The sequence below is a fragment of the Homo sapiens genome, chromosome 2 (assembly GCF_000001405.40).
Source record: "Homo sapiens chromosome 2, GRCh38.p14 Primary Assembly".
NCBI lineage: Eukaryota > Metazoa > Chordata > Mammalia > Primates > Hominidae > Homo > Homo sapiens.
The window spans coordinates 86061901-86089811 of NC_000002.12; the positions used below are offsets into that span (position 1 = coordinate 86061901).

At 45.1% G+C, this 27911-nt stretch overlaps 1 protein-coding gene across 1 annotated transcript in view, besides 4 other annotated features; it reads right to left on the minus strand.

Moving 5' to 3' along the window:
* POLR1A (RNA polymerase I subunit A) overlaps positions 1-27911 on the minus strand; it is an 85671-nt gene that overhangs the window by 41685 nt on the left and 16075 nt on the right. Inside the window, exons 5-14 of the mRNA NM_015425.6 lie at positions 26885-26970; positions 26666-26769; positions 21182-21268; positions 19701-19806; positions 18916-19078; positions 16214-16384; positions 15959-16081; positions 13130-13360; positions 8118-8372; positions 3374-3565 (exon numbers count right to left, since the gene is read on the minus strand). Of these exons, the coding sequence (NP_056240.2) occupies positions 3374-3565; positions 8118-8372; positions 13130-13360; positions 15959-16081; positions 16214-16384; positions 18916-19078; positions 19701-19806; positions 21182-21268; positions 26666-26769; positions 26885-26970 (1518 nt within the window). The remainder of the gene's footprint in view (positions 1-3373; positions 3566-8117; positions 8373-13129; positions 13361-15958; positions 16082-16213; positions 16385-18915; positions 19079-19700; positions 19807-21181; positions 21269-26665; positions 26770-26884; positions 26971-27911) is intronic.
* Positions 4453-4653: a silencer, noted in NCBI's record as "peak3776 fragment used in MPRA reporter construct". NCBI's record gives its function as "represses an SCP1 promoter by STARR-seq MPRAs in K562 erythroleukemia cells {active_cell/tissue: K562}" and the evidence as "EXISTENCE:reporter gene assay evidence [ECO:0000049][PMID:32103011]".
* Positions 7572-8771: an enhancer, noted in NCBI's record as "MED14-independent group 3 enhancer chr2:86296595-86297794 (GRCh37/hg19 assembly coordinates)". NCBI's record gives its function as "activates an origin of replication core promoter dependent on BRD2, BRD4, P300/CBP and CDK7 cofactors, and independent of MED14, by STARR-seq in HCT116 cells {active_cell/tissue: HCT116}" and the evidence as "EXISTENCE:reporter gene assay evidence [ECO:0000049][PMID:35650434]".
* Positions 12641-13141: an enhancer, noted in NCBI's record as "H3K4me1 hESC enhancer chr2:86301664-86302164 (GRCh37/hg19 assembly coordinates)". NCBI's record gives its function as "activates a minimal SCP1, AML or CMV promoter by ChIP-STARR-seq in naive H9 embryonic stem cells {active_cell/tissue: H9 hESC(naive)}" and the evidence as "EXISTENCE:reporter gene assay evidence [ECO:0000049][PMID:30033119]".
* Positions 13142-13642: an enhancer, noted in NCBI's record as "H3K4me1 hESC enhancer chr2:86302165-86302665 (GRCh37/hg19 assembly coordinates)". NCBI's record gives its function as "activates a minimal SCP1, AML or CMV promoter by ChIP-STARR-seq in naive H9 embryonic stem cells {active_cell/tissue: H9 hESC(naive)}" and the evidence as "EXISTENCE:reporter gene assay evidence [ECO:0000049][PMID:30033119]".

Genomic DNA, 27911 nt, shown 5'->3' on the forward strand with positions numbered 1-27911 from the left:
TGAGAGTTTGCAAAGATGTATTCACTTTGTGAATGTGCACTGAGTTATAAACTCGAGATTTGCAATGACAGGCAAATCTCTTTCTTTGCATGCTCTTTGAACAAATAATGAGAGACCTTCGGTTTGTAAATAGAAAATCAATCAAGAGGCTGTATGAAATGACCTGGAGAAACACTCTAAGACTTCATTTCCCAGGGCAGTAGAAATAAACTTCCTAAGCTAAGTTCCTTATCTTCTGATTCTAAACATGGTTTTTCTCTGTAGCACCAGGCTGAACCATGAACAAATTCTTGTGTAGTGTAGTCACTCTTGCCCTTTTCACCTATTTGCAAAATAAAAAAGCCTGTACCAACCTTTAGAGATACAATGAAAAACTTCACCCATGACAGAAGCAAAACCTGGGCCTATTTCCCAATTTTATTTGGTACAAAGGATTTGAAAAGGATCCAAGGTGCAGTCTCTAGGCACAATGAAATTAAACCGGAAATCAACAATCGAGATATTTGGAAAAGCCCTCAATATTTGTACTTCTAAATAACTGAACAACATACTTCTAAATAACTCATGGATTGAAAAAAAAAATCAAAAGGGAAATTAGAAAGTATTCTGAAGTAGATGAAATGAAAACACAACATATTAATTTGTGGGATGCTACTTAAGCAGAACTTAAGGGGGAAATTTATACATAAAATGCCTACATTGAAAGAAGAAAAGGGGTCTCAAATTGACTTAAAGAACTTAAAGAACTAGGAAAAAAAAAAGAGCAAATTAAACCAAAGTAAACAGAAGAAAGGGAGTGATAAAGTTCAAATCAACGAAACAGAAAACAGAAAAATAAAGTCAATAAAACCAAAGACTTTTTTTTGAGAATAAAACTGATAAACCTCTAGGCAAACTGATCAGGAAAAAAGAGAAGACACAAATTATCAATGTCAGGAATGAGAGAAGTGACACCACTACAGGCAATACAGATAGAAAAGGTCAACAAAGGAGCATTATGAACAACTTTGTGCCTATAAATTCAGTAACTTAGATGAAATGGACAAATTCCCTGAAAAACACAAACAATTAAAGCTCATTCAAGAAGTAGATAACCAAAAATAGCTCTATGTCTACTAAAGAAATAGAAATTTTAATTGAAAATCTTCCCACAGGTTGGGCGCGGTGGCTCAGGCCTGTAGTCCCAGCACTTTGGGAGGCCAAGGTTGGTGGATCACCTGAGGTTGGGAGTTCGAGCCCAGCCTGACCAACATGGAGAAACCCCATCTCTACTAAAAATACAAAATTAGCCGGGCATGGTGGCGCATGCTTGTAATCCCAGCTACTTGGGAGGCTGAGGCAGGAGAATTGCTTGAATCTGGGAGGTGGAGGTTGCGGTGAGCCAGGATCACACCATTGCATTCCAGCCTGGGCAGCAAGAGCAAAACTCCATCTCAAAAAAAAAAAAAAAAAAAAAAAAAAAGAAAGAAAACCTTGCCACAAAGAAACTCTAGGCCCAGATGCCTTCACTGGTGAATTCTACAACACATTTAAGGAATAAATAATATGAATACTGTACTACACAAACTCTTACAGAAAACCAGAGGAAATACCTCCTAACACCTCATTCTGTGAGGCCAGGATTACCCTGATACCAAAACCAAACAAACATATTATAAGAAAATAAAACTACAGACCAATATCTATCACAAACACAGAAGTAAAAAAATTCTAGACAAAATATTAGCAAATTGAATTCAATAATATATAAAAAGGATAATACCTCACGACCAAGGAAGGTTTATCCAGGAATGCAAGGTTGGCTTAAAAAGGAAAATCAAGTTCCAGGTCCACAGACTAAGAACTGGAGAGCAGGAAGAGACCTTAGAGATCATGAACTTGAAGCTGAAGTCATTGATTTGGGACCCTTTTTCTTCTTTTCAACCTAGGCATTTTATGTATAAATTTCCCCCTTAAGTTCTGCTTCAGTGGCATCCCACAAATTTTGTTGTGTTTTCATTTCATCTACTTCAGAATGCTTTCTAATTTCCCTTTAGATTCTTTTGACCCATGAGCTATTTAAGAAGTACGTTATTTAGAAGTACAAATATTGAGGGCTTTTCCAAATATCTTGGTTGCTGATTTCCAAATTCCATTATGCCCAGAGGCCACATCTTGAATCCTTTTAAAATCCTCTGTACCAAATAAAATTAGGAAATAGGTCCAGGTTTTGCTTCTGTCACGGGTGAGATTTTTTAGTGTGTCTCTAAAGGTTGGTACGGGCTTTTTTTTTGCCAACAGGTGAAAAGGGCAAGAGTGACTACACTATGCAAGAATTTGTTTGTGGGTTAGTCTGGTTTCAAAGAGAAAAACCATGTTTAGAATCAGAACTTAGCTTAGCAAGTTAATTTCTACTGTCCCAGGAAATGATGAGGAACTGAGACACACAGGGCTAAGATCACATAGCCAATTAGAAGTTGATCCTTAAGGCTGAACTTGGATACTCAGGCAACAGCAGAAGAACATATTTTACTGTTTTTCATTATTTGGTCGCCACATATCATGTAATTTGGTTACTTTGAGAGGAAGTATGGTATGATGCTTCTGGGGTTGAAAAGTCCTGGGTTTGATCTGTCTCCTGTAGTCTTGGGCATGTAATTTATCATCTCCTAAATGGAGATAATAATGGTGTCTGCATTGCAGATTAGTCGTGAGTATTAAATCAGATAATGTGTCTAAAGCACTCAGCAAACATATGGAACTTCCCAACAAATATTACTATTACTCCACCAGCACCACTGCCTATTACCACCATATTTGTATTATGAGGACACCAAATTTAAGTTAGAAGCAAAGGACAGAAACTATGCAGTCTACTTTTTTTTTTTTTGTGGAGACGGAGTCTCACTCTGTTGCCCAGGCAGGAGTGCAGTGGCTGATCCTGACTCACTACAACCTCCACCTCCTGGGTTCAAGCGATTCTCTTGCCTCAGGCTGAGGCGATTCTCTTGCCTCAGCCTCCCGGTAGCTGAGATTACAGGCACTAATCCCACGCCCAGCTAATTTTGTACTTTTAGTAGAGATAGGGTTTCACCATGTTAGCCAGGCTGGTCTCAAACTCCAGACCTCAGGTGATCTGCCCGCCTCAGTCTCCTAAAGTGTTGGGATTACAGGTGTGAGCCACTGCACCAGGCTACTATGCAGTCTACTCTTGCTAGACACTCCCTTGAAGCCACCCAGACTCAGGAACCCCAAACAAAGGGGAAAGAAAGTCAGACTATTGCTGGCTTAGCCATTTCTCTGTCTCTGGTCTGGACTCTTCTGAGAATAAAACCTTTTACATGAGTGGCCTATTTCCTTTTGTTACATACACTGGCTGTTCTCTCCCAATTACCTGTTTTCCTGTCCACAGCGGAAAGGGCTTCAGGATGGAAGGAGAAAGGAGCTTCACGCGCCCCACTTTGTCCGTGAGTCCTCGGTACACCAGCTCCATATAGTGCTCCCGGGTGAAAAAGCAACCCCGAGTAGTCATGCTTGCCCCTGAAACCATGTGATCCTGGATCAGTCCCGCCAATGGTTGGCCATCCTATAAGCCAAAACAGACAACACAAGAAGAATGAAAATAAATCTTAAGTCAAACTCTAATCCCTAATCGCCTGCCTGGAAGCCACTTTCTATCAAGAGCCCTTCTTATATCCCTGTCTTGTCTTGCCCACATCCTCACTATGTTCTTGCTTGGGAGCCAACTGCTTCCCAAAGCACATGACCAGGGTTTAGCACTGGCTTCTACGTTTGCCATTTGCCCACTATCCTATATCAAGACTGCTTCAAACTCATCCCGTTCCCCCGGCCTTCTCTGTTTAATCCCATCTGGTTCTAGTTACTCCAGCATATTTTTGGCATTTATGCCTAAATTTGGTCTGGCTGCTGTCAGCTGTGTTCTTGTTTTTATACTTTGGTTTTATGCTTTAGTATTTTTCACACGTTTCTGGCCTGGCTCTTCTGTAAATCAGTCATGCACTCAACAAATATTTATCAGGAGCCTCCTGAATGCCTAGGCACTGGGTAGGCTTTTCCCTACTCCAGGGGACCAAACAGACATGGTCCTTTATGATGAAGAAGAACTAGACAGTAAACAAATGATTGGATAAATACAATATCACAAAGTGTTTTAAATGCCAAAGAGGAAAATAACAGGGTGGGTCATAATATAGACTTGAGGTGAGGGGGATGGTCAGAAATAGCCTCTCCGAAGGGCAGTTTCACAGTTGAGGCCTGAGGGGTGAGCTGGCCAGTGTTGGGAGGAAGGGGTTCCGGCACAGGTTCCTCAAGAGAGCTGTGAGTGGGCCTGATGTGCATGACTGCAGAAGGGAGAATAGCCATTATTAGTTATCTCTTCACAACACAGCACAGGGTTCATGGTGGGCCCTTAATAAAGGCTGTTATCTACCAGATGCCAAAAAGAAAGGCTTTTATGAAAAGCCTGAGATTTGGTGAGTGCATTAATTTCATTTGACACTTTCACAGCCATTCTGATCCCCAGTCTCCTGAACCTTATCTGTCGGGTCTGTGTTCACGGCAACATAACGCACGCTGAAGTAAAAATAGCTATGCTCACTGACGTTCTTTAAGATGTAGATTTTGTAAACTTTTCAATGTTTATAGGAATTTGAGAAAAACCTGTGCCTTGGATATAAAGATTATTAATCATTTGATTATTTGTTAAATACTAGCCAACAGTATGGTCATGTTTTATAACTAAGGCTAAGGGAACTCACAAATGCAGTCTGGGAGAAGCACCAGAAATTTAACCATATGTACTAACTCAAAGGCTAAAAAAGGATCCTTGTCAAATGGTCTAAACACTACAGTGATGGGCTCTATGTAAACTCAAAGATAACGATTACAGATGGGCTGGAAAGGTGGCACAGACCTAAGGCAAGATCAGATGGAGCACACAGCCCCTCTTATGAAGGCTTTCACTTAATAATGTACATAAAAAAATTATACTCTACCTCTTGTTGCCTAGATGGTCTTATTTTGCTTGGGGGAAAAACCCAAACCAGTATTATGCATTTGACTCATCTCACAGTCTTTGGGGGGCAGATACTGATTTTTCCTTTTGTTTTTTTCCTTAAAGAACATAATTACAGGTTCTGTGATCTATTCAGTGCCTTTTCCTCTCTCTGTCCAGATTTTTCCATGACTAGACAATTACTTTGATGGCTAAATCATTTTCAATGCAATCATCACAAATTCTATGGCAGAATGCTGATTAAAGCAATTACTAAAGGTCTACTTATAATTCTAAATTTCCTAACTCCTGCTTAGGATCAGAAAGAACACCTCTGAATCAAAACCCCAGACAATTGTCAGCTTTACTATTCTCCTTAATAGCAAAATGACATTACAATTAATGTCTCTGGTTAGGATGCTTTGTGAATAGGGTATCCCTGTAACTTGAATTTTCTAGCTGACTAAGTAGAAGTCAGGAAACATATCTGAAGCCTTGCTTAAAAACTTTCCACAAAGTATGGGCCCTCAATAAATAAACAGAAGGAAAAAAAATTAGTCCAAAAAGTAACACATAAATGAAAAGTTTAACTGTTTTCATGGAAAAGAAATGAGTTCCATTCAACTCCTATTTTAAGTAAAAAGACGCCACAAAACTCTACTAAGTACATAAAACCAACGACAAAATGTACTTTAATTCAGTATTATGGTTACTTAAGGAAGATAACCTGGTAATAGAGAAGAAATTGAATTATAAATAAAGAAATATGGAAACTAAGGGAAATAAAGATATGCTAAGAAAAATTACCTCAAAATACTGGTTTTCCTAGTTTAACCAAATCAGCTCTTGTCCTTTTAGGACTCTGCCAATAAAGACATGTTGCATTTTTATAACCATTAGCAAATATAAGGATTCCACTTCTTGGCATTTACACCAAGGACTAAATAAAATTTATCAAGAATCAAAAGCTCTTTACCTCCGACAAAAGAAAGTGAATGAAAGTACAGTGAATCTTCAAGCCATCTCCCATAAGCTTTTTTCAATAAATTAATTTATTGACATTAAGTTTATTTACCTGTGTTCTCCTGCCTCCCTTAAGTGTACGCCCAACCTAAAACTCATAGGCATATTAGCATGTGATGAGGTCCACTTGGATTTATATGTCAGCCCACTGCAGGACACAATGTAAGCATGAAGTCTCCTATGGCTTTGCACCGTATTCAATCAAAATCAAGCACAGCACATTCAAGGTCACTGGTCTGAGGACTTCAGAGCACCTCAACTCCCCACATAGCTAATGCCTCAGGTCACTCTGCCAGCAAAAAACCATCTGCTGCTCCCCGGTAGTGTCCCCTCTGGTGAAATATGACTCGGCTGCTATAGAGTCAGAGACCCACACAGTTCTGGCAGCCACTTCCTGTCACCTGCCTTCCCTTAGTCCCAGCCTTGGCTGTCGAGTGGGGCTAAGAACACGCACAGCCAAGCACATGGGCGGGGGGGGGGGGCGGGTGTCGTCCAAAGCTGCTGGGTTCAAGTCTTGGCCTCATTGCTGGCTGACATATTACTCACTTGGTGTTTCCTTGTCTGAAAATCACACCAACCTCATAAGGAAGGGAATGTCTGCAAACTGCTTACAGCAGTGCCTAAGGCCTGTGACCCACTTAATAAATGGCAGCTTTTACTGCCACCACCACAGAGCCACATTATTATTTAAATGAAAACATAAAAAGCCACTTTTCAAATTAGCAAATGTATTTTTTTTAATTTCCAAGTAATCTGGGTAGGCCCTTCACCACTTCTTCCTACATTTAGTCCCTTTGCTAATCCACAGCCAACAAAGGTGGGCAGAGAAGGGAAAGGCCAACTCAAACAACCGGGACCCTTGTGAAGCCACAGTGGTGCATCTGGTGGGAAAAGGGTCCGGGATGCCGGGCTCCTGGCCACCTGCCTGATTCCTTCGTGGCAGACGGCTGATGGGAATAGAGAAGCTCCAAGGAGCAGAGGATGCTGATTGACACTAGGCATCTCTGAGCAGCCCCTGGCACTCCCTGTGCACAGAGGTCTCCATCTCTGTGGTAGCACAAACCCTAGGAAGATCCAGGAACTCCTTGTCCTTCCTGCTGCTTCTCAGCTGAGTGTCCTTGGACAAGTTACACGAATCCTTCAAGTGTAAAATGTGGACATGAATAGCACCTACCTCCAAGGACTGTGGGGAGGGTGAAATGAGGAGCCTCTAAAGTGCTCTCTGCACAGTGTATGGCACTGAAAAAGTACTTGGGAAATGGGAGCCTTGGTTTGACGTTACGATTATTCTTCATACTCCACCACAATCCAAATGAATGATGTATAACTATGAATCATTGTGGCGCAAATGGCTTATAATTTAGGAGGACTCAGACCTTTGGGTGGGTGGTGAGGGTGAAGGAGGCACTGGAACACACTCTGTCTTCTTTCCTGCAGCCTGCCTCTTTCCCCGCTCTGTCCCTCCCATGAGCACATGCTAACTCAGGCCCCTGCCACTCCTGGCCAAGAGTCAGCTGCTAAGGAGACGGGGGAGGAAGTTCTATCCTTCCCTCGTGTCCCTCTGGACAGCTGTGACCACAAGGGGTTGCCCTTGAGGAGTGAACTTGGAGAAAGAAGGAAAGGATTCAAAGGGGACAGAAGATGCCTTCACGGGCTGCTGCGGGATCTCTTCTGGGCCCTTGGGGTTAGGCTGCTTCTTAAAACTCATGTTTGTCAGAACAAAGGATCAAAGTCATCAGTGGACCATGAGAACCATTACAGTGTTGGGATGCTAATGCTAGCCGGGGGCTACTAAGTTGCAGAATCCAAATTTAAGTGCTGAACACAAGACCTATCACACAGTTATTAAGGTTGGCTTTCTGGGATGGCTATCACAATTTCTGTCCTGATTTACATTTTACAACGCAGCAAAACAGAAACATTTCCCAGCCTCTAAGCCACTAGATGGGCTAAAAGCCCCACCTGGGAGAAACCAGGACCCTCCATTCCAGGCGCCCCTGTCCTGGAGCTGCCCAATGACCCCAGGGGCTGGCAGGGCCCAACTTAAAAGTGCTAAGTCATGCTGACGATGACCACGGAACAGCCTCAAGGCCAGACCTACCTTGGGAACAAGGTACTGCTGATCAGTGCAGGCCAGGACGTAGGCCTCGGCCCGGCCCAGCTCACTCTGGGGGAAATGGGCATTCATCTCGTCTCCATCAAAGTCGGCATTATAGGCCTTGCAGTTGGCATAGTGGAGCCGCAGCACTTTCTCTTCAGGCAGGATGCGGGCACGGTGGGCCTGGATGGAGGGTCTGTGCAGTGTGGGCTGTCGGTTCAGTAGCAGAATGTCCCCATTCTTCACATGCCGGCACACCTGGGAACAGAGTGGACAGGTGGGTGATCAGTGCAAACGTCAGTATCACCACGGCTCTTTCCAAGTGCTCACCTCAGCTTGACCAAGGTGTGGCTTTTGTCTCACGTTCTAGTTAACTAAATGCAAGGGGAATTTTTCATCTGGAGCAAAACCCTGGAAATCTCTGAGAAATACGTCCTAGGCCCTTCTGGTCCTGGCCCTTTACAACCCTGATCCTGGCTCTAGGCTCAGAAGTATAAGGAACAAATAAGACCACAGGTCTTTGTCTTCTTCAGAGATGCATAGCCGTCCCAGGTTTCTGGATTACTCTGAAAACTAATCCAAAGAAAGAAATGGATACAACTCCTGAAGATATAACCATAACAAAATGAAGACATAACCATAAAACCACTGGGTTTGAAAGGCATTGGCAGACTTTCGAATCCCCCCCCCGCCGTGATCACATGTGAGTACATTATTCTAAACAGAAATTCTACATTTCACAAAAAGTTTGCCCAGCTTCATATAGCAGAGCCAGAAAAGGGTTCTTAGTTAGTTCAATGCCCTCAGAGAACACTTTATTGCACTTCAAAAATTAAGAGCTGTAAATTGTCATAGTCTTTTGGGAACAGAGTTTGAAAATAGCAATTAAAACACTTAAAACACATTTTCTGTTGGCTCTTCAAGAAAAAAAAAAGCACCCACACAAGGTTAGATGAGTATGTATGTTTGTGTAGCAGCATTTACAGCGGCAAAAACTAGAAATAACCTGACTGCCCCATAGAAGGGGCAATAGTGTATCCACACTATGGAATATTATGCAGTGATGAACAAGGATAAGGTAAATGTATACAAGGCCTAAAGTGATAGCAATAATGTATTACAGCAAAGAAAAAAAAAACCCAGGTGGCATGTGACATGATGAAAAAAAAAAACAATTTAAAAACCAACCCAGCTTCTCTCTCTCTCCGTGTGCATGTGTGTGTGTGTGTGTGTGTGTGTGTGTGTGTCTATGGGAAAGGGGTGGTTGGATCCTCACTAGGCTGTACTATTTTTCTGAGACAGGGTCTCTCTCTGTTGCCAGGCTGGAGTATAGTGGTACAATCATGGCTCACTGCAGCTTCAACCTTCTAGCCTCAAACGATCTTCCCGCCTTGGCCTCCCAAAGTGCTGGAATTACAGGCATGAGTCACCACACTCAGCTACTTTCCTACATCTTAGCATCGTTCTTCCTATAATGAGTATGTGATGCTTCTGTAAATTTTAAAAAAGGTCTTCACTTATTTTTAAAGAAAGAAATATTGAACAAGTGCTATGCTCATTGCTAGAGGGAAAACAGAAAATACAATTTAAAGATAAGAATTTAAAAATCACAAGTAATTGTACCCCTCTAAGATAACCACTGCTCATACTTTTCCCCCCTTATAAATATCTGGCTGGTCATGTCCTTCTGACAGACATCTCTCTCACAAAGCTGACTTTCCTGTACCGCCTATTAAGACACTTACCACCCTTATCTTTAATTATATTAACTACTGGGCCTCCTAAACACTGAACATAAAGTGACACCTTAAAAGACAAATGTATGAAGGTAACTGCCACCCCATGCATCCTGAAGGGCTCCTCTAAGTAGTACAAAGGAATTATGAAGACTTGGTGAAATCTCTGCCACCCCAAATCTCCTCTAAATCACAACAGATAGCAGGCAGGAGAAAACAACAAATTATTGGAAGTCTAGTTTCTTCTTATGTTGCCCACATTTATGAAACTGCATTAGAAAGTTCATTAAAGAGAGAGGCTAGAAGTAATTAAGAGATACTCCCCAAAACTCTCTCCCCGATTCCTGTTCAGTGAGGTTAAAAGTTTTCTCTCTCTAGCTCAGAGAAGCAGGGAGCAAAACCCTCAAGTGCTACAAAGCAATCTTAAAAGTACCTAGCATGGAGTCCGTCTTTTTGCTCCCGAAGGAATTCAAACCTTCCCCTCCCCATTGCCAAGTCCCATGTTTCCAAGGAGACCTAAACTCTGAGGGTTCCCATGAGCATCTGCCCAGGGCACTGGCTGCTGTCTGACTGCGTCATACAAGCTGAGGTCTTCTTGCTTTAGCCTCTCAAGGGAGAAACTGCCTAGACCTGTGGCCCAAGCCCAATAAGCCAGGCTGGGCCTAGGATTTGAGTCTTGCAAATTTGAGACATCCTCCAGCGTAAGCAAACTCGCCACAGCTGGGAAGGTACACAGGCCAGTCTGGTAGGCACCGGCCAATCCAAACAGAAGCCCTGGAGCACAGGGTATTCCCCTTGCCAACCCAAACCCAAGGCCCTTCCTTTCTCTTGTCTCTAAATAAATACTGCAGTGAAAATTAGCGTGCCCCAGTGCCCCAGGGTCAGAATTTTCAGAGGCAGGCTCGGAGCCAAAGGCCTGCTTCTGGCAGGCTGCTGAGCAGGGCAATGAGCCTTGGCTCTCCGGGCCATTTCCTCTTTTATTTACAAGGCCCAGGGGATGGGGCAGAGCTTTCATACTTCATAGAGGAAATGGGTCCTTTTGGCCTTTCCCCTCCTCACCTAGCCTGTGGTTCCTCCCCGGACGAGACCTCAGTGTTTCCTTCCCATCAACCTCACACAGCCCCTTCAGCCTTGCCCTGACCCATATGCAACACATTAACCAAAGTCTTCAAAAATTACAGGCCAGGAGCAGTGGCTCATGCCTGTAATCCCAGAACTTCGGGAGGCTGAGGAGGGCAGATCTCTTGGGCCTAGGAGTTGGAAACCATCCTTGGCAACATGGTGAAACCCCATGTCTACAGAAAATACACAAACTAGCCACACCTGTGGTCCCAGCTACTCGGGAGGCTGAGTCAGAAGGATCACCTGAGCCCAGGAGGTGGAGGCTGAAGCAAGCTGTGATTATACCACTGCACTTTAGCCTGGGAGACAGAGCGAGACCTTGTCTCAAAAAAAAATAAAATAAAAAAAAAAAAAATGACAGGTTTTGGTGGGTAGCAGACTACAGTCCTCAGGCTGGCCACCTGCTTCTGTAAATAAAGTTTGATTGGAACACAGCCATGCCTATTTGTTTGTGTACTACCTGTGGCTGCTTTGGTATTAGGTGGCAGAGCTGAGCAGCTACAGCAGAGCCTGCATGGCCCAGGACCACAGAAATATTTACTATCTGACCCCAGAGGAATGAGGGCTTGCTAAGGCCTGAGAGAGCAGCAAGAATTCGCTGCCTTCAGTCCCCTCTTTAGCCCTGAGGCTGGCCCCAGCACCTGGCTCACAGTTGCCTCCTGATGACCCCAAACTCTCCCTGCCCACTTGCCCTGCACATTCCCCTCAAACTTGTTTCTTCTTGGACATTATGTGCTTAAAGTCACTGTCTGTCACTGCTGTTCCCTATGGTGTCTACCACACCCCTCCGCAACAGCAATACATTTATATGCTTACTTCCTAGTGGTTCCCCCACCATGCTGTCAACTCCAGGGTGGCGAGGATCCGTCTGCAGGGACTGCAAAGTGCTAGCATGCAGGGGGCATCAGTACTGCCTCATCCCTCACCCCTTCTCCTAGTCTCTTTCTCATCCTTTCCTATTGTGAGTCTGTTTCACATGTTTGACCTGAGTTAAATGTAAGTGAAGTGAAACACACCTTGCTTCTTTTTGCATTGCTCACACAGTGCCTAGCGAAACACCAGGCACTTAGGAAAGGCAGACCGATTCTACGAACCTGAATACAAACCTTACTTCGTGCACTAGAGAAGAACAAAAGAGGTGACTTGATCTATGTTTGCATGTGCCCTGTCACCAAAGGAGAATACAGTAATACAGGCAGTGTATTACTGCTGCCCCTCAGGACGGCGGTGAGAACGAGAGGAAGCAAGAAGGCCTGTGATGAGCAGTGATGGGCACCGCCGCAAGGCCAGGAGCATTTCCTTTTCCTCTCGGTTCCTCCAAAGTTCCTTCAAGGCTGATGCAACTTTGCAGAGGTGAACTCAGTGTTAAAGAAGGGCAGGTCAGCCATGGGTATGGGTGGGCAGAGGGCAAGGAGAGGCCCTCTGTGCAGGTGGGTGAGGAAAATCCAGGCAGTCACCTATTGACTCCGGTAGTCACTTGTGGGTTACATCCAAGTCGAATCCATTTCCCTCCAACAACTGCTGCCACTGTTGCCTAGTTAGGGGTCATCTGCTACTCCCCTCCCAGCAGGAATGGCTATTATGTGACAGAGCCACAGAGCTGTCACCTGCTGATTTCATGCACTCAGCAACATTGTTAATCGATCATGTGCTCCTTCCAGTGGAACCTGATAGAGCCTCAGGATTCCCTACCACAGCACTATGGGCTAGCATTAGCAATTGCCCAAAATGGAAACATTAGTTATAACCTGTTATTTGTTGGTTATCACTGGCACAGAGCACTCCCTTCCTAAGAGTGGCTCTCAAACATCAGCATGCAGAAGAACCCCCTGGAAAGCACGGTAAAGAAAGATTCTGAACTCTATTCTCAGAGATTCAAATTCAGTAGAGGTGGGGGGATGTGCATTGCTCACAAGCTCCAGGGCTGCTGCTGATGCTGGTCTGGGGACTGCCCTTTGAGTAGTCCTGTTTAAGGGCAGCCATTCTTCTGCCCGGAGACTACAAGGTGAATCTAAAAAGCCACCCACGTGTCGGGGAGCTTCCTCCTAGGGATGGGCTCCTGTGTCAGTGCGCACCGGAGCCACACCTGATGGCCACCAATCACCAGAATCCGAACAGGAGCCGGATGGGTCCCTGACCAAAGCTGCCCTTACTCACAATTTTTGTCCCCTGGGGCTTAGGTGCCCCCGTGGCTGGGGTCAGAAGCTGCTTGGCCACGGCCTCTCGCTGGGTCATGTCCACAGCGCTCAGGGCTGTGCGGCTGCCGTCCTCATTGATGACCATGGAGGCTCCTGGGTGCACATTAGGGCCGTTGATGACCGCTTGCCTAAGTTCCTGAACATTCCATGGGGTAACTGGCTGTGGGTAGGTCAGTTTTGTGGCAAACACCTGGAAATGAGGAATGGAGGTAGAAATTCAGGGCAGGGATAAAAAAAGGTCTGATGGACCCCAAATCTGTCTCAACAGGCTGTCTTTTCACCCAAGATGTGGAGGAGCTGTTTGACTTGGCCAAGAAGGTCTTCCAGTGAGCAAAGTAACATCCTGCCTGTCTTCTGCTACTCCCTTAATGGTATAGAGACTAGGCCTCCTTTTCTACCAGTTAGTCTGAGGAGAATAATTTAAGCGCAGCAGTTTATATAATTTTTTTTTCTTTGAGATGGAGTTTCGCTCTTGTTGCCCAGGCTGGAGTGCAATGGCGCGATCTCGGCTCACCACAATCTCCGCCTCCTGGGTTCAAGCAATTCTCCTGCCTCAGCCTCCCGAGTAACTGGGATTACAGGCACACACTACCACACCTGGCTAATTTTGTATTTTTAGTAGAGACAGGGTTTCTCCATGCTGGTCAGGCTGGTAGCAAACTCCCAACCTCAGCTGATCTGCCCGCCTCGGCCTCCCAAAGTGCTGGGATTACAGGCGTGAGCCACCGCGCCCAGCCAATTTTTTCACCCAGTCTAAAACTTCATTTTCTTATCTGCCAATAAATTCAAAGTTCCCAAAGGTGGCATGGGGCACTTCCTTGAGACAGGTGGCAAATGCCTGTCCTCAAATACCCTGACATCCCTCATCTACCCTGGCAGACATCACTAATGCATCATGGTGCTGTCCCTGAGCCCAGACATGGCATCGGAATATCTCAACTCCACAGTTCTGGCAGCCATTACAATCAAGGTGGTACTTGAGATGAAACTGACGCATTCCTCTGATACCTAAGAAAATGCAGTGTGCTGTGTTTAAAGCTGGGCCTGGGATACGCTCCAAGTAAAACAAGTTCCCTGTTAAATGAGTTTTTGAGCTACTGAATATTATAAACCTCTAATGCTTCCAAATGTACACAAATACACCAGAGGCTCTGAGATGTCCTACATAAAGGAACTTGTCTAGCTTTGTACAGGTCCCGCGCAGCAACACTTTCTCAGAAGGCTCCTGGGGCTACCCCAGCCTCTGCGTTCCTCAGCCTGAGCCTGCTCTACTGTTGCTGATGCACTTACCACCCATCACCGTTCAACAGAGCATACATATACTTGTCTATCTATTTACTGTCTGTCTCCACCCCTGGACACTGCTTTATATGGGAGCACATTAGTCTGTGCTTCACTGCTGGTCTCCAGCTCCTTGCTCCTGTGGCACCTGTCAACAGTGCTCTATGGGAAGTGTGTGATCCAAGGGGCCAGAGGCAGTTCTATCCACTCTAATCTTCCCAGCTATCCTGTGAGGAATACCTACGCCCCAGGCCACCATGGCCCTGAGACTTGCAGCAGTCTGCAGGTGGGCAGAGAAGTGACTTCGGGGTCTCTCCTCCAGGGACAAGCCACTACCAAACAAACCCAGATCTAAGAAAGAGAACCCAGCACCTAGAAGATAGAAAAGGCAGCACAAAAGGTCTCTCACAGAGCTGGGGACACTGTAGGCACTATGAAGTCAAGGCCAACAAGGGTGGCCCCTGCCCTGTCCAGAGAGGGCAACCAAAAGTTGCTACATGTCTCCTCGGGACCTCAGATTTGGGAATGTCACCACTGGACTTTGCAAAGCTGGTCCTCACCACATGATCCAGCCTTTGAATGCAAGGACTATGGTTCCCAAGAGGCAGTGGGTACAGGACTGGGCCTTCTCAGACTGCTGTCTCCTGACACATCACGCCTTTGTCCAGGAAACCCAAGTGTGCCACAAAGAGATGAGGCCATGGGGACACAGGATGATCAGAAAGAACACTTCAGCGCTGCTCATCACCAGTCCCCAGAGAGGGGTGGAGGGGGTGGCGTGCAAGGAAATGAGGCTCTCCACGGAGGGAAATTAAACCACCTTCACATTACTGACATAGAGGCCGGCCCATTAAGGAGGAAGCCGATTAAAGGCTGCTGCTGCTGAGCACCACAGCATGAAGTGCTAAGGATGTGAGAAGACGAAGCTAGCTCCCGGAGGGGGTCGGGGGGAGAGCACTAACAGGTGAACAGCAAGCTGCTGACCCTGAGAAGCGAAACAGGACCTGGGCAACATGCACACGCCTCTCTCCGGGACTCACTCCCTTTCCTCTTCCCAGTAACCTGGGGTACACATTTCTGATGCCTGGAAAGTACACAGGACTGATAACTGATATGCCCCATGCCCTCTTCCTCTCCCCTGTCATGTATTCAATTTGGTGAGGAAGGTCAAAAGACTAGGCTGAAGTGGGCAGGAGGAAGCTATGCCGGCGGGGATGTGGAACACCCTGCAGTCAGCTCCCTGGTGCTGACTTGTTGGTAGGAGGTGTCTGTAAGCCTAGCAAGGAGTGACAGCAATGCCATCATGCAGCTTCCAGTCACCTCCTTGTGGGCTGTCCAGGAAGAGGCAGAAGCTAGTTCCGCCCAAGCCAGAATAATCTGCTGCACATCCTGTCCCCAGTCCTCTGCGGCATTCTCATCTGCCACCCACGGGGAGCAAATGAGCCCTGCACGCGCGCGCGCACACACACACACACACACACACACACACACACACACACACACACACCATGGGAATTCCAATTTCGTTGGTGTTGATGTACATGTCTGGGCAGATGACTGAGCGCGCAGCGTAGTCCACTCGCTTTCCCATCATGTGTTTTCGGAACAGGCCTTCTTTCTTCTCCAGGATCTTTATGGAGAAAAAAGGTCATAAAAAACATTCAACAAGAATTCCAGTAGGCTTATTAGTTTCTTGTTTCAATACACAATGTTTATTATTTATCTTCTGTAGCTAGCAATGGGAATCCAGTTTTTTGCTCACCTGCCTAATGCCTGGGTACTTGTCCATCATTAGTTTGTCCATCTCGCTATCAAACACAATATTGACGTGGCTCTGAAGGCGAATCCAAATGTTGTAAAGTTTGTCTATGAGGGACTGGCCTGGAAGTGTACTCAAAAAGGATCGGTCAATAGCAATCAAAGAGTCTTTTTCCTGGAAGATGAAACCAAGAAAACAGGGATGATGGAAAAAAGCTCCAAAAGGCCTGGCTTGATTTAATTTTTCTTTCTTACCCTGGATCTGACAACTATGCACTCTGGAGTTTATCTCCTCTGAACCTGACAGATCAGAGACAAACATGCTAATAAATCAATCTTGTAAGTACATGTCAATAAGACATATCAGCACTATTATATATTTACCAGCCTGTCTCTTTCTAGTAGTAAGATGAACTCAAAATTTATAAGCATGCTTCTTTCTTAAGGCATTTTTGCTGAAATCCCTTAATATGCAATTCCTAAAGAAAACTAAGAAGTCCTTCCCACATCAGTACATTTCTTATGAAGTTCTGTTATCTTGCCAGATAACCAATTCTCACATGCAGTTTCAGTTTTATTTATGGCTTTGAAAAACTTGATCCAAACCAATTACAAACATGCAGGTGGAACAATTTCTTAAAAGGAACTAGGTTTGCCATACGATATTCTATGTCATCAACTAAGATGTGGGTCTCCAGCTGAGCTATATCAAGTTAGTGGCTGATTGCCAAGTCTCATTGGAATATTTAACCAATCCTTTTTTAATATTTTTGCCCCTAGCCCTGTCTCCTCCTCTCTCCCACTCCCTACCCAGGGGACAGAAATACACAGAAGCCTTCAGCTGGCTTAGAGCACCACCTATTGATACTGTCTGGCCACCTACTGGCCCAATCGACTGGGTATGACACAAGGAGACAGATGGTCCCACGTCTTCCAGTGTGGGCAGATAAGAGAAGAAACCTGTCAGTGTCTTGAGGTGGGAGGGTGAGGGTGGGTGAAGATTCAGTAAACGAGAATGTTATGAAAACCCAGTAGTGATGAAGTGGGCTTGTCATCAAACCTGAGGAACACAGGAATCTTCTTTAGCTCTAGGGAAAATAGATGTATTCTACATAAAACACTCAGGGTCCCCTTCTGGCTGGAGTCCCAGAGGGAGATACGATCACCTGCATGATGACCGGGCCCTGTTAGCCCAACTCACTGCTCATGGCATTACCTGGCTCAAGACCAGTGATTGTGAAATGAGTGAGAACTTGTCTCACTGGAGTATCCCCAATGCCTAGACGGTGACTGGCAAGGGCTGCCATGAGGATGGAACACAGAGAGTAAGGGGGGAGAAAAAACACATCCTGTCAATCACAAGGAAAGAGGGCAGTGGGACATAGGAATCAGAGGATGCTATTTGCCCCTCAGAGGCGAAGCATTTGTTTGACAAAGGGGACGACCAATTTTTCTTTTTTTTTTAATTATTGAGATGGGGTCTAACTCTGTTACCCAGGCTGGAGGGCAGTGGTGCGATCACAGCTCTCTGCAGCCTCGACTTCCCTGGCTCCAGTGATCCTCCCACCTCAGCCCCCTGAGTAGCTGGCACCATAGGCATGAACCACCATGCCCAGCTATTTTTTGTATTTTTGGTAGAGACAGGGTTTCGCCATGTTGCCCACCTGGTCTAAAACTCCTGGGCTCAAGTGAACCTCCTGCCTCAGCCTCCCAAAGTGCTGGGATTACAGGCTTGAGCTATCATGCCTGGCCAGGCTGCCCGATTTTTAAGGGACATCAACCCTGGTCACTGGGTACAGTTATCCCATGGTCTTTTCTTGGAAACTGCACTAAGGCATGCACATGGCTGATGTCTTTTACACTAAGGAGTTTTTAAAAGCACACCAATGCGGGCCGATCAGGAAACAAGCAAAACCACAGAAAGCCCCAAGTGTAACCTGCACCATAAGTGTCCAAGAGACAGTGGCGCCACCTTGTGATGGGCCTGGCAGACAGCGGGACTGTCGCAGCGGCTGGAGTCTGAGAACCCGGACTGTCTACCCAAGGCTGCCTATTTGCATCCAGAGAGTACTTTAGAGCTGGGAAGGATCTTGATGACCTCAGCAAGCTTCCTGGGTGCCCAATTCACCTTTGTACCCACTGAACACCTACTAATTAACCCGGCACACAGATGGGGCTCAGGAAATGTTAGTTGAAACTGTCCTATTCTGAGAGGAATTTCCACTCTGCAATACTGCCTTCCTGACCCCAATGCTGGAGACATTAACGTGTCCAAAATAGAGCTGGCAACATGAGCTCTAGTACTGTGACCCAAAAGGGACACTCTTAAAGCCTGAGGGAAGTAGGCTATTCTTTCTAGAGCTGCGAGAGCTGGTAGCCCGGAACAGCCTAGGTGTGAAATCTCACCACAAATCACATGCACTTTATAGCAGACACTAGTATAAGGAAGTGACTCAACTAGGGTCACCTGGCATGGTCGTTCGGTGTAGAAGCTAGACCAGAACCCACACCTTTCCATGCTCAGACCCATGTGTGTCCCCCTAATGTTCCTAGGTGCCCCCTAAGCCCAGAGCTCACACTAAGGCTGCTGCCAGCTGCACAGAACATCCCAGGAAGCATCTCCCAGACCCAGTGTCTACATCCACAGCTCACAGAGTTAGCACTAAGCATGTGTGCTCATCACATCAGCAACAGAGCAGCCCTGACCTCATCTGTAGTGGGTGTGGCCACTTCCTCTGGCAACTTCTGTTCTTGGGCCATCAATGCCAGAAGTTTTCGAATCAGAACTACATCCTTCATGACAGCCTGCAAGTTCACCGTCTGGCCATTAGTAAACATCTGGTCTCCTAGGCGACTGACTGGGCGATACCTGCAGGGGGACATACGGAATAAATGAATGTTTAGTGTGAGGAAAGGGTCATGTTCTTCAGCCTCTCACCCATGCCTACTGTAGGGAGCACACCCCACCATGCTCAAAACAACCAACCTTCCTAACCAACATTCCGGCTGGGTGTGGTGGCTTAAGCCTGTAATCCCAGTACTTTGGGAAGCCATGGCAGGTGGATCACTGGAGGTCAGGAGTTCGAGACCAGCCTGGCCAACATGGTGAAACCCCATCTCTATGTAAAATACAAAAATTATTTGGGTGTGGTGGTGCGTGCCTGTAATCCCAGCTACTCAGGAGGCTGAGGTAGGAGAATCACTTGAACCCAGGAGGCAGAGGTTGCAGTAAGTCAAGGTCATGCCACTGCACTCCAGCCTGGGAGACAGTGCAAGACTCCACTTCAAAACAAACAAACAAAAACAACCAACATTCCTATTGCGTTCACAACAAACGGGAAGGAAAGCAAGCCCTCCCACCACCTGCACCTGGAGCGGAACTGCAGCTTTGTCTCTCAGTGCCCTTGGCCCTTTCACCTCTCCTAGAGGTCACATTTCAGTTCCTTAGTACGCTTTTTTTCAGGTGAAATAAGTTAATTAAAGGGTATTACCTTGAGGGCGGCACCACCAAGAAATCTAGAAAGAACACACTGGGATTGAATCTGGATTCCATACCATCATCATCCATTCCCGAAAAAAGGTAGTTCAGAAAGAATCCTGCGTTGGAAAGAAATAAACCAAGAAGACCATTTAAATCTATCACTAAGGGCATGGGAGGACAACCATAAAAATATTACTGAGTGAGGAAAAAACAGAATACAAGATAATATGTAGAGTTAAGGTCACAGTTTTCTTTTTTGAGAAAAGGTCTCACTCCTGTCGCCCAGGCTGCTGTGCAGTGGTGCGATCATGACTCACTGCAGCCTTGATCTCCCAGGCTTAGGCAATCCTGCCACCTCAGCCTTCCAAGTAGTTGGGACTACAGGTGCGTGCTATCATGTCCAGCTAATTTTTGTATTTTTTTTTTTAAGAGATGAGGTTTTGCTTGGTTGCCCAGGCTGGTCTCGAACTCCTGGGCTCAATTGATCCACCTGCCTCAGCCTCCCATATTGCTGTGATTGGAGGCATGAGCCAACGTGCCTGGCCTCATTTTTCTTTATAAAAACAAAAAATAGCCCCTGTGTACATGACAGTTTGTATGCAGGGGATATGATAGCATAAAAATGGGTACTACAGGGACAATAGCTCTTAAACCAGGGACTGAGATGGGCAAGGATGGGGAAGAAACTTCACTTGTTTTTAATCACCCTCCTGGACTATTAAAACACAGACAGCACACACATCATTACTTTGATCTTCATAAAAAATATGTTGAATAAAAAAATTTTTTTTTAAGTTAGCCTCCTCCCACCCCTAACAGTTACTGCCAAGAAAGGATCTTCTGTGGATCAAAGCTTTATTTCAGGTTTCTGGTTACTTTAAAAAATGCCTAGAGAAAAAGATTAAAATGTACTAGGGCCTGCCACAGAAGCAATCATACTAACTCCAGTGCTTTTTTTTTTTTCTGATACCTCTTTAACAACATGTTCATTTGTAAGCGCTTATTACACAGAGGTTATAGTCAGCGTTCCACAACATACTCTCACAAGGGCTTGAATATACTGCGTAGGTTTTGTTATACACTCAAAAGGAAAGAAGGATTTCCCTTATAGTAAAGTCCCAATTTAAATAAGACAGAGTTCATTCTTTGATTCACAGAAGGACAAAGCATTTTACTTACGGGCATTTAAAATAAGTTACACTGAACCTTCTAAAAATATGCCAACCTGTATTAAGTGAGGCCCACCTGCAGTTGTCATTTCATAACCAGGCTCAGCTGCGATAATTGTCAAGTTTTTGGTGCTGGGTATGACCTCTCCTGCTCTATGACTCAATGTCAATGTGCCCTGAAGACTGCCCCAAACCTCTGGATCAGTTCCAGGAGGAAGCTACAATCACTACAACTTAAAAGAAGTAATAAGGCAGGGTTAATGAGTCCAGGAAATAAAAGCCTAGAGAAGATCAAGGCTATTTCTTTAGCCTGATACAGCACCTTCATTCTTCCACAGGGCAGAAAGGTGTTCGCGGGCACTGGTGGGTGTTAAGTATCCTCGTTTTCCTATCTGAGCTTCCTCAATTCCTGGAGCCAAGGAGGAGAATCAAAGTGCAATAAATCAGAAACAGGTACTCTTTCTGCAATGGGATTTATCAATTCTTTATCCCCAAGCCTGCAACTTGACCACAAAAATCAATCTCAAGGGTAGCATATTATCAGGCCTGGATTCCCTCTGGCCCTTAATCTCATTTCTATAGTAATAAAAACCATATGGCTATTGTATAAAACCTAAAAAAAAAAAAAAGCAAAGTAAAAGAAAACATTACCCATAATCCCATCACATTAACAACTCCTATCACTTTTATATATTGTTTTCCAGGCCTTTTTGTCTATACACGTATTTTACACAACTGTAATCTTCAGTGTGGATTTATTTTGCACACTACTTTGCCCTTTTAGTATCATCTCATCAGCATGTCTGCATGTTGCTATGTAGCTTTTGCCTGATCACCATTTTTCATGGCTATGTGATATTCCATTAAGGATGATTCCTAATTCACTTAACCATATTCTCATAATTGGACATCTGGATTGATTTCCATATTTTGCTATTATAAGTAACATTATAATAAATATCTTTATCTACCTGTTTTTTACCAGAAAAGTTCATATAAGTTGAATTATGGATAAATAAGTATTTTTATAGGTAAATATATACTGACTTCTTTTTACAAATATCATACTGGTGTGTGAGGAATAGATTGGGCTTGGTTTCTCACACTAAGCAAGATCACTCTGGGATGCCATCTACCAGCAATACCCAGGTTACATGAGAAAACGAGGCTTGGGACTGCCATTCAGGAGGTAGGGACCAGGCATTTAAGATGATTACCTAAGACAAGTAAGTAGTGTGTCTTTCAGGTTCAAAACTTTCTGGGCACTTTGGGAGGCCAAGGCAGGCAGATCACCTGAGGAGTTTGAGACCAGCCTGGCCAACACAGGGAAACCGTGTCCCTATGAAAAATACAAAAATTAGCCGGGCATGGTGGTGGACGCCTGTAGTCCCACCTACTCGGGAGGCTGAGGCAGGAGAATGGCGTGAACCCAGGAGGCGGAGCTTGCAGTGAGCGGAGATTGTGCCACTGCACTCCAGCCTGGGCAACAGAGCGAGACTCCGTCTCAGAAAAAAAGAAAATACTGGACATGACTGTAATCCCAGCTACTAGGGAGGCTGAGACAGGAGAATCGCTTGAACCTGAGAGGCAGAGGCTGTAGGGAGCCGAGATCGTATCGCTGCACTCCAGCCTGGATGACAAAGTGAGACCCTGTCTCAAAAAAAAAAACACAAAACAAAACAAAACAAAAACCCCAAAAAGCTTTTCTGGATACATCCACTGAAACTAAGCATTACTCAATGTTCCTTTTTTATTCACATATCAGGACAGGCACTATGCCTTGTCTGTGTTCCTAACACTTGACAGGGTGTCTAGCTCACAGCAAATTCTAAGTTAAGAGTATACGGCTCAAATATAAAATAGCCTAAGATAGTCTACACTTAAAAACACCACTCTTGCCTTTTCCTTTTTTTTTTTTTTTTTTTCAAGACGGAGTCTTGCTCGTCACCCAGGCTGGAGTGCAGCGGCACGATCTCAGCTCACTGCAACCTCCGCCTCCCAGGTTCATGCGATTCTCCTACCTCAGCCTCCTCCATTTTTAAAAACTAGCTTCATTCCACCTCCAATTCTCCAGCTAGTTTCTTTAAAATCTGCAGAGGATATGTCATCATAAGTTTTTAGAGAAATCCCTAACTTGGAGAACAATTAACAAATGCACCATAATTTAAGTAGTCTCTGTTAATAGGTATTTAAGTCATGTCCAGTATTTTCTTTTTTTCTGAGACAGAGACTTGCTCTGTCGACCAGGCTGGAGTGCAGTGGCACGATCTTCGCTCACTGCAAGCTCTGCCTCCTGGGTTCACGCCATTCTCCTGCCTCAGCCTCCCGAGTAGCTGGGACTACAGGCATCCACCACCACGCCCAGCTAATTTTTTGTATTTTTAGTAGAGACGGGGTTTCACCGTGTTAGCCAGGATGGTCTGGATCTACTGATCTTGCAATCCGCCCGCCTCAGCCTCCCAAAGCGCTGGGATTACAAGTGTAAGCCACCGTGCCCGGCCCATGTCCAGTTATACACTATTCAAACAACACTGTGAGTATTCTAATTCCTTAGGATAAAGTCATCAAAGCAGAACTGCTAAGTCAAGGAGTCTGCATGTTTAAAGTTTTGATGTCGATAAAAGCAGAATATTTCAATGAGTTAACGCAACTGAAGGAAGCATGGGTATGCAATGAAGAATGGCCTTGACCTTCAGGGATAACCACAGCATTAGAAAGCTACATATGTTCAGTGGGAGAAAACAGACCCCATTAACCTGCATTTTGTGGGCATTTCTGAAAATGAGTGTCTGAACTTTCTCTTCTACTAAATAGGTTGGAAATGCTGAAGAAGATCGGTCGAATCTCCTCAGCTCCTGTCCCAGCAATGCCCCCACTGCAGTTTAGTCACCGTGAAGGCAGAGGCTGTTCTTCAATCACAGGATCTTAAAGTCAGAAGAGAGCTGTGGAAGCCCATCTCCTCACATGCGCTGCATCCCCTCCTAACAAGAACTTCTGCAGCTTGCAACAATGCCTTCTGCCTAGCTGGGATTTCAGAGCATCTTGAATGTGTCTTTCTTTCAGCTGTAAGAGGTGCCATAGGAAAAAGGGATTCAGAGGTCAAATAACCTGGGATCACAATGGCTGGAAGTGTCTTGGCTATATGAATTCTCATTTTAAATGTTAATGTGCCTTGTGGGGCTCAGGGGGGCACATGGAGCACAGGGAGCGCACTGGAGCAGCACGTGTGGCATTTCACAAGCTGACAGCGCTCCTTGTGGGATCACCAGTCCATGGGGACTACTCAGGCACAGCCCTCACTTTTTTTTTTTTCTTTGAGATGGGGTTTCGCTCTTGTTGCCCAGGCTGGAGTGCAATGGCACAATCTCGGCTCACTGCAACCTCCGCCTCCTGGGTTCAAGCGATTCTCCTGTCTCAGCCTCCTGAGTAGCTGGGATTACAGGCGTGCGCCACCACACCCGGCTAATTTTTTTTTTTTTTAGTAGAGACAGGGTTTCACCATGTTGGTCAGGCTGGTCTTGAACTCCTGACCTCAGATGATCTGCCTGCCTCCTGACTTCAGATGATCCGCCTGACTCGGCCTCCCGAAGTGCTCGGATTACAGGCGTGAGCCACCACTCCCAGCCTAGCCCTCACTTTTTGATTCCCTCTGATACCAGGAACATGGTCAGACCCACGCTGAGGCTGCTCACTTTCCTCCACATCACCTGCTCCCCAGGGTTACTGATCTGTGTCACTTGCAGCCCCTTCAGAGAGCAGAGACCACATGGTCTGGTCTGTGTCCTGGCATTGTGCTCATCACAAACATGGTCCTTGGCATAATGCTGAGCACCCAACAAATAAATGTGTGCTAAATACTGAATACCCAAGCCTGGAGCTGTAGAAGACTATGGTCTACTTGTTTCTAATGCACAGACTTTTGGTTGCACCATCATATTTGCGTGGCTGCAATGAAAGATGACTTTAGAAGAATGGGTTTGGTGAAGGCATTGAAAGGCTACTTACCTGCCGGACATTTGCCCCACGAAAACTATCTTCTAGAAAGAATTCTGACCATCTTTGTTCTCAATCTATGAACATTTTATAAGGCATCCTAAGGGCTACAGAAGCAATTCCCAACTGGTAATACAAGAAAATTGTTTTGAGGGCAATTTAATGGTTAAGTGTAGGAAAATCCACTCTTACAGTGTTAACTACCAACCATGAAACAAAATTAAAAAGGCTTTCTAAATGCAGTGTGGTATCCTGGGTTGGATCCTGGAGCATAAAAAGGAAATTACTGGAAAACCAGCAAAATTTAAAAAGTCTGTAGTTTAGATAATAGTGTTGCACCAATGTTAAACTCAGTTTTGACAAATGCACCATGGTAATCTACTATGTTATACAGTAGGGCAAATGAAGTAAACAGTATTAAGGAATTCTCTGTACTATGTTTACTACTCTTCTATTAAGTCTAAAAATTATCCTAAACTATAACATTTTAAAAAAATATTAAACAGGTTTTTCATTTAGTCCAGGCCATGCCAGAGTGTTCAATGTAAAACATACATCATGCATCTCCAGGAGGGGATCTTATTTCCATGCTTATCCCATATTCTCAAACCCTGGTGAAAGGTTTAGTAACAGTATCTGCTATGGACTGCCATGCATGTAACTTCCTCAATTCTAGGCAAGAGGCTTTAGGAATGCCATTATATAGAGTTAGAAATGGAAACGCCTCAAAACAGCCTTCTATCTGCCACTCAGAAAAAGTGGCAGAGCCAAGTGACAATTGCAGGTTGTGCTTTTTCTTTCTTTTTCTGAGACGGAGTCTTGCTCTGTCACCCAGACTGGAGTGCGGTGGCACGATCTCAGCTCACTGCAGAGTGCGCCTCCTGGGTTCAAGCGATTCTCCTGCCCTAGCCTCCTGAGTAGCTGAGATTACAGGTGCCCGCCACCACGCCTGGCTAATTTTTGTGTTTTTAGCAGAGATGGGGTTTCACCACGTTGGCCAGGCCGGTCTTGAACTCCAGACCTCAAGTGATCTGCCTGCCTCAGCCTCCCAAAGTACTGGGATTACAGGTGTGAGCTACCGTGCCCAGCCAGGTTATGCATTTTCTACCCTGGAACACTGATGACATAATAAGAAATGAACAGTTAACATTTACATAGCACATATTACACAGCAGGTACCGCTCTCAGTGCTTCTCTTGGAATACTCTATTTAATCTTCTGACCACTTCAGAATAAAAACCAAAAAACATTTTTAAATAAGCCTATGACTATAAAAATTAAAAAGTGGGAGTATTAAGTTATCTCAAAATTTTTCCCAAGCAGAGCTTGGGTAGGGCAGAGCTGAGGAAAGAATTCTACCTGGGGGGATCTGGGTGGACAGCCAGGAGTAGCCTGCAGGAGGCGCTCATGTTTTGCTGAATTCTTGCAGTTTTTCTTAAAAATTATTCGCCTACATTTTATTCCAAAATAGATCCACACTTGTTTTACAGTAAAATGTTTCAAAATATTTGTCAGGTAAATTTCTTAATTTCTTCCTGAAAAACCTTTCAGAAAAACGACCACCTAAGGCAAGAGGCGCCTGTGGGGCACTGCCTCATAAAACAGCCCCTCCCATCAGCTCTCCCATGTGAGAGGCCTGAGCTGGGCGCTTGCCAGGGTCCCCTCAGGCCTGAGAGGCCTGCACACTGTGCCTCTGCTGGCCCCTCCCAAATGCAGCAGAGAAACACGTGGTGAGGAGAACCAGGTATTCCCAGGGTTTAGGACACATCTGCTGGCCTCACATGGAGCTCCTCTCCAGACCCAGCCTGCTCACCCAGGGGCTCAGAGTCCTTCTGGCCAGCTGTCCTGTGCACCATGGCTGGAAACGTGATAGTCAACTTGCTGTTGTGTTCCTTTCGGACAACGGATCGCCCGGTCCTGTGCAGGAGGACAGTTGTGATTGAAGAGAGAAAAAACCCAGTAAGATATTTAATAATAGCAATGAGTGACTGCCCAGAGACGTCTCACCTGGCGCAAGGGCCCTGATACTTACTTGCAGTGGGGACAGCGCTTAGCATTCATATGTGCCTTCCAGAAGAGAGCAATGAGCTTGCTCTTGCTCTCACACACGTTCTTTACCTGTTTTTTTAAAAAAAGTCAGAGAACCTTGGAGTGCCATTTTGAAGAGAATCCAATATATTTACTTTATGGTTTTCACCTTTTATTTTTAACCAGCGGAAACACCCCCACCACCACTTTCTTAAACAAAATCTTCCATAGAACCCTAATACACTTGAGCTCTGACAATTACTGAGTGACTTCTTTAAGCCTTCAGTTTCTCAATTATAATATGGGAATAAGAATAGTAACCACCTCAGTAAGCTCTTACTAAGACAAAGAATCATGAATGCAGTGGGGGCTTGAAATACAGCCAGTACTCAATAAGTGCTAGTTACTTTCACTTGTAAAAGGAAGCCCTCTGGATGCAGCTGGCCTGCCTCAGAAGGACCTCAGGGTTCTAAGGAAGGCACATCCACAGTCCAGCCACATGAGTGGCTCTGCACCTGGCAGCAGATGGGAATCATCTGGGAGCTTTTGTAACTCCACTTGGACCCTACCCCAGACCAATTAAATCAGCATCTCTGGTGTGAAACCAAGGCATGAAGTGAAGCAGATTCCAAGACTAGTATCACAGGTGAATTATCTACCCATTCATTCATTCGTTGAACAAATTAATACTTAGGCAGTATATGAAGGGGAGAATAAGGTAGCAGTGGGTTAGAGAGAAGTGTTGGAGAAGGAAAAAAAGACCTGCTGCCATTTTTTAAGAAGAGGCTTGCTGGATGCTATACCGAAATCATATGTCACATAATCCTCTCATTGGTCCTGCAGGCAGGCATTAGAGATTAGATAGTGGACACTCAGGGACAGTTGTGTAATTTGTGAGGTTGCAGGTCTCACAAGAGACAGAGCTCAGATGCAAACTCAGGTCTACTTTGGGAAGCCAGAAGTATATGCAAAGGACAACACAGAGGGAAAGTGATAAAATGATGCCCAAAACAGCATGGGAGAAAGACAGT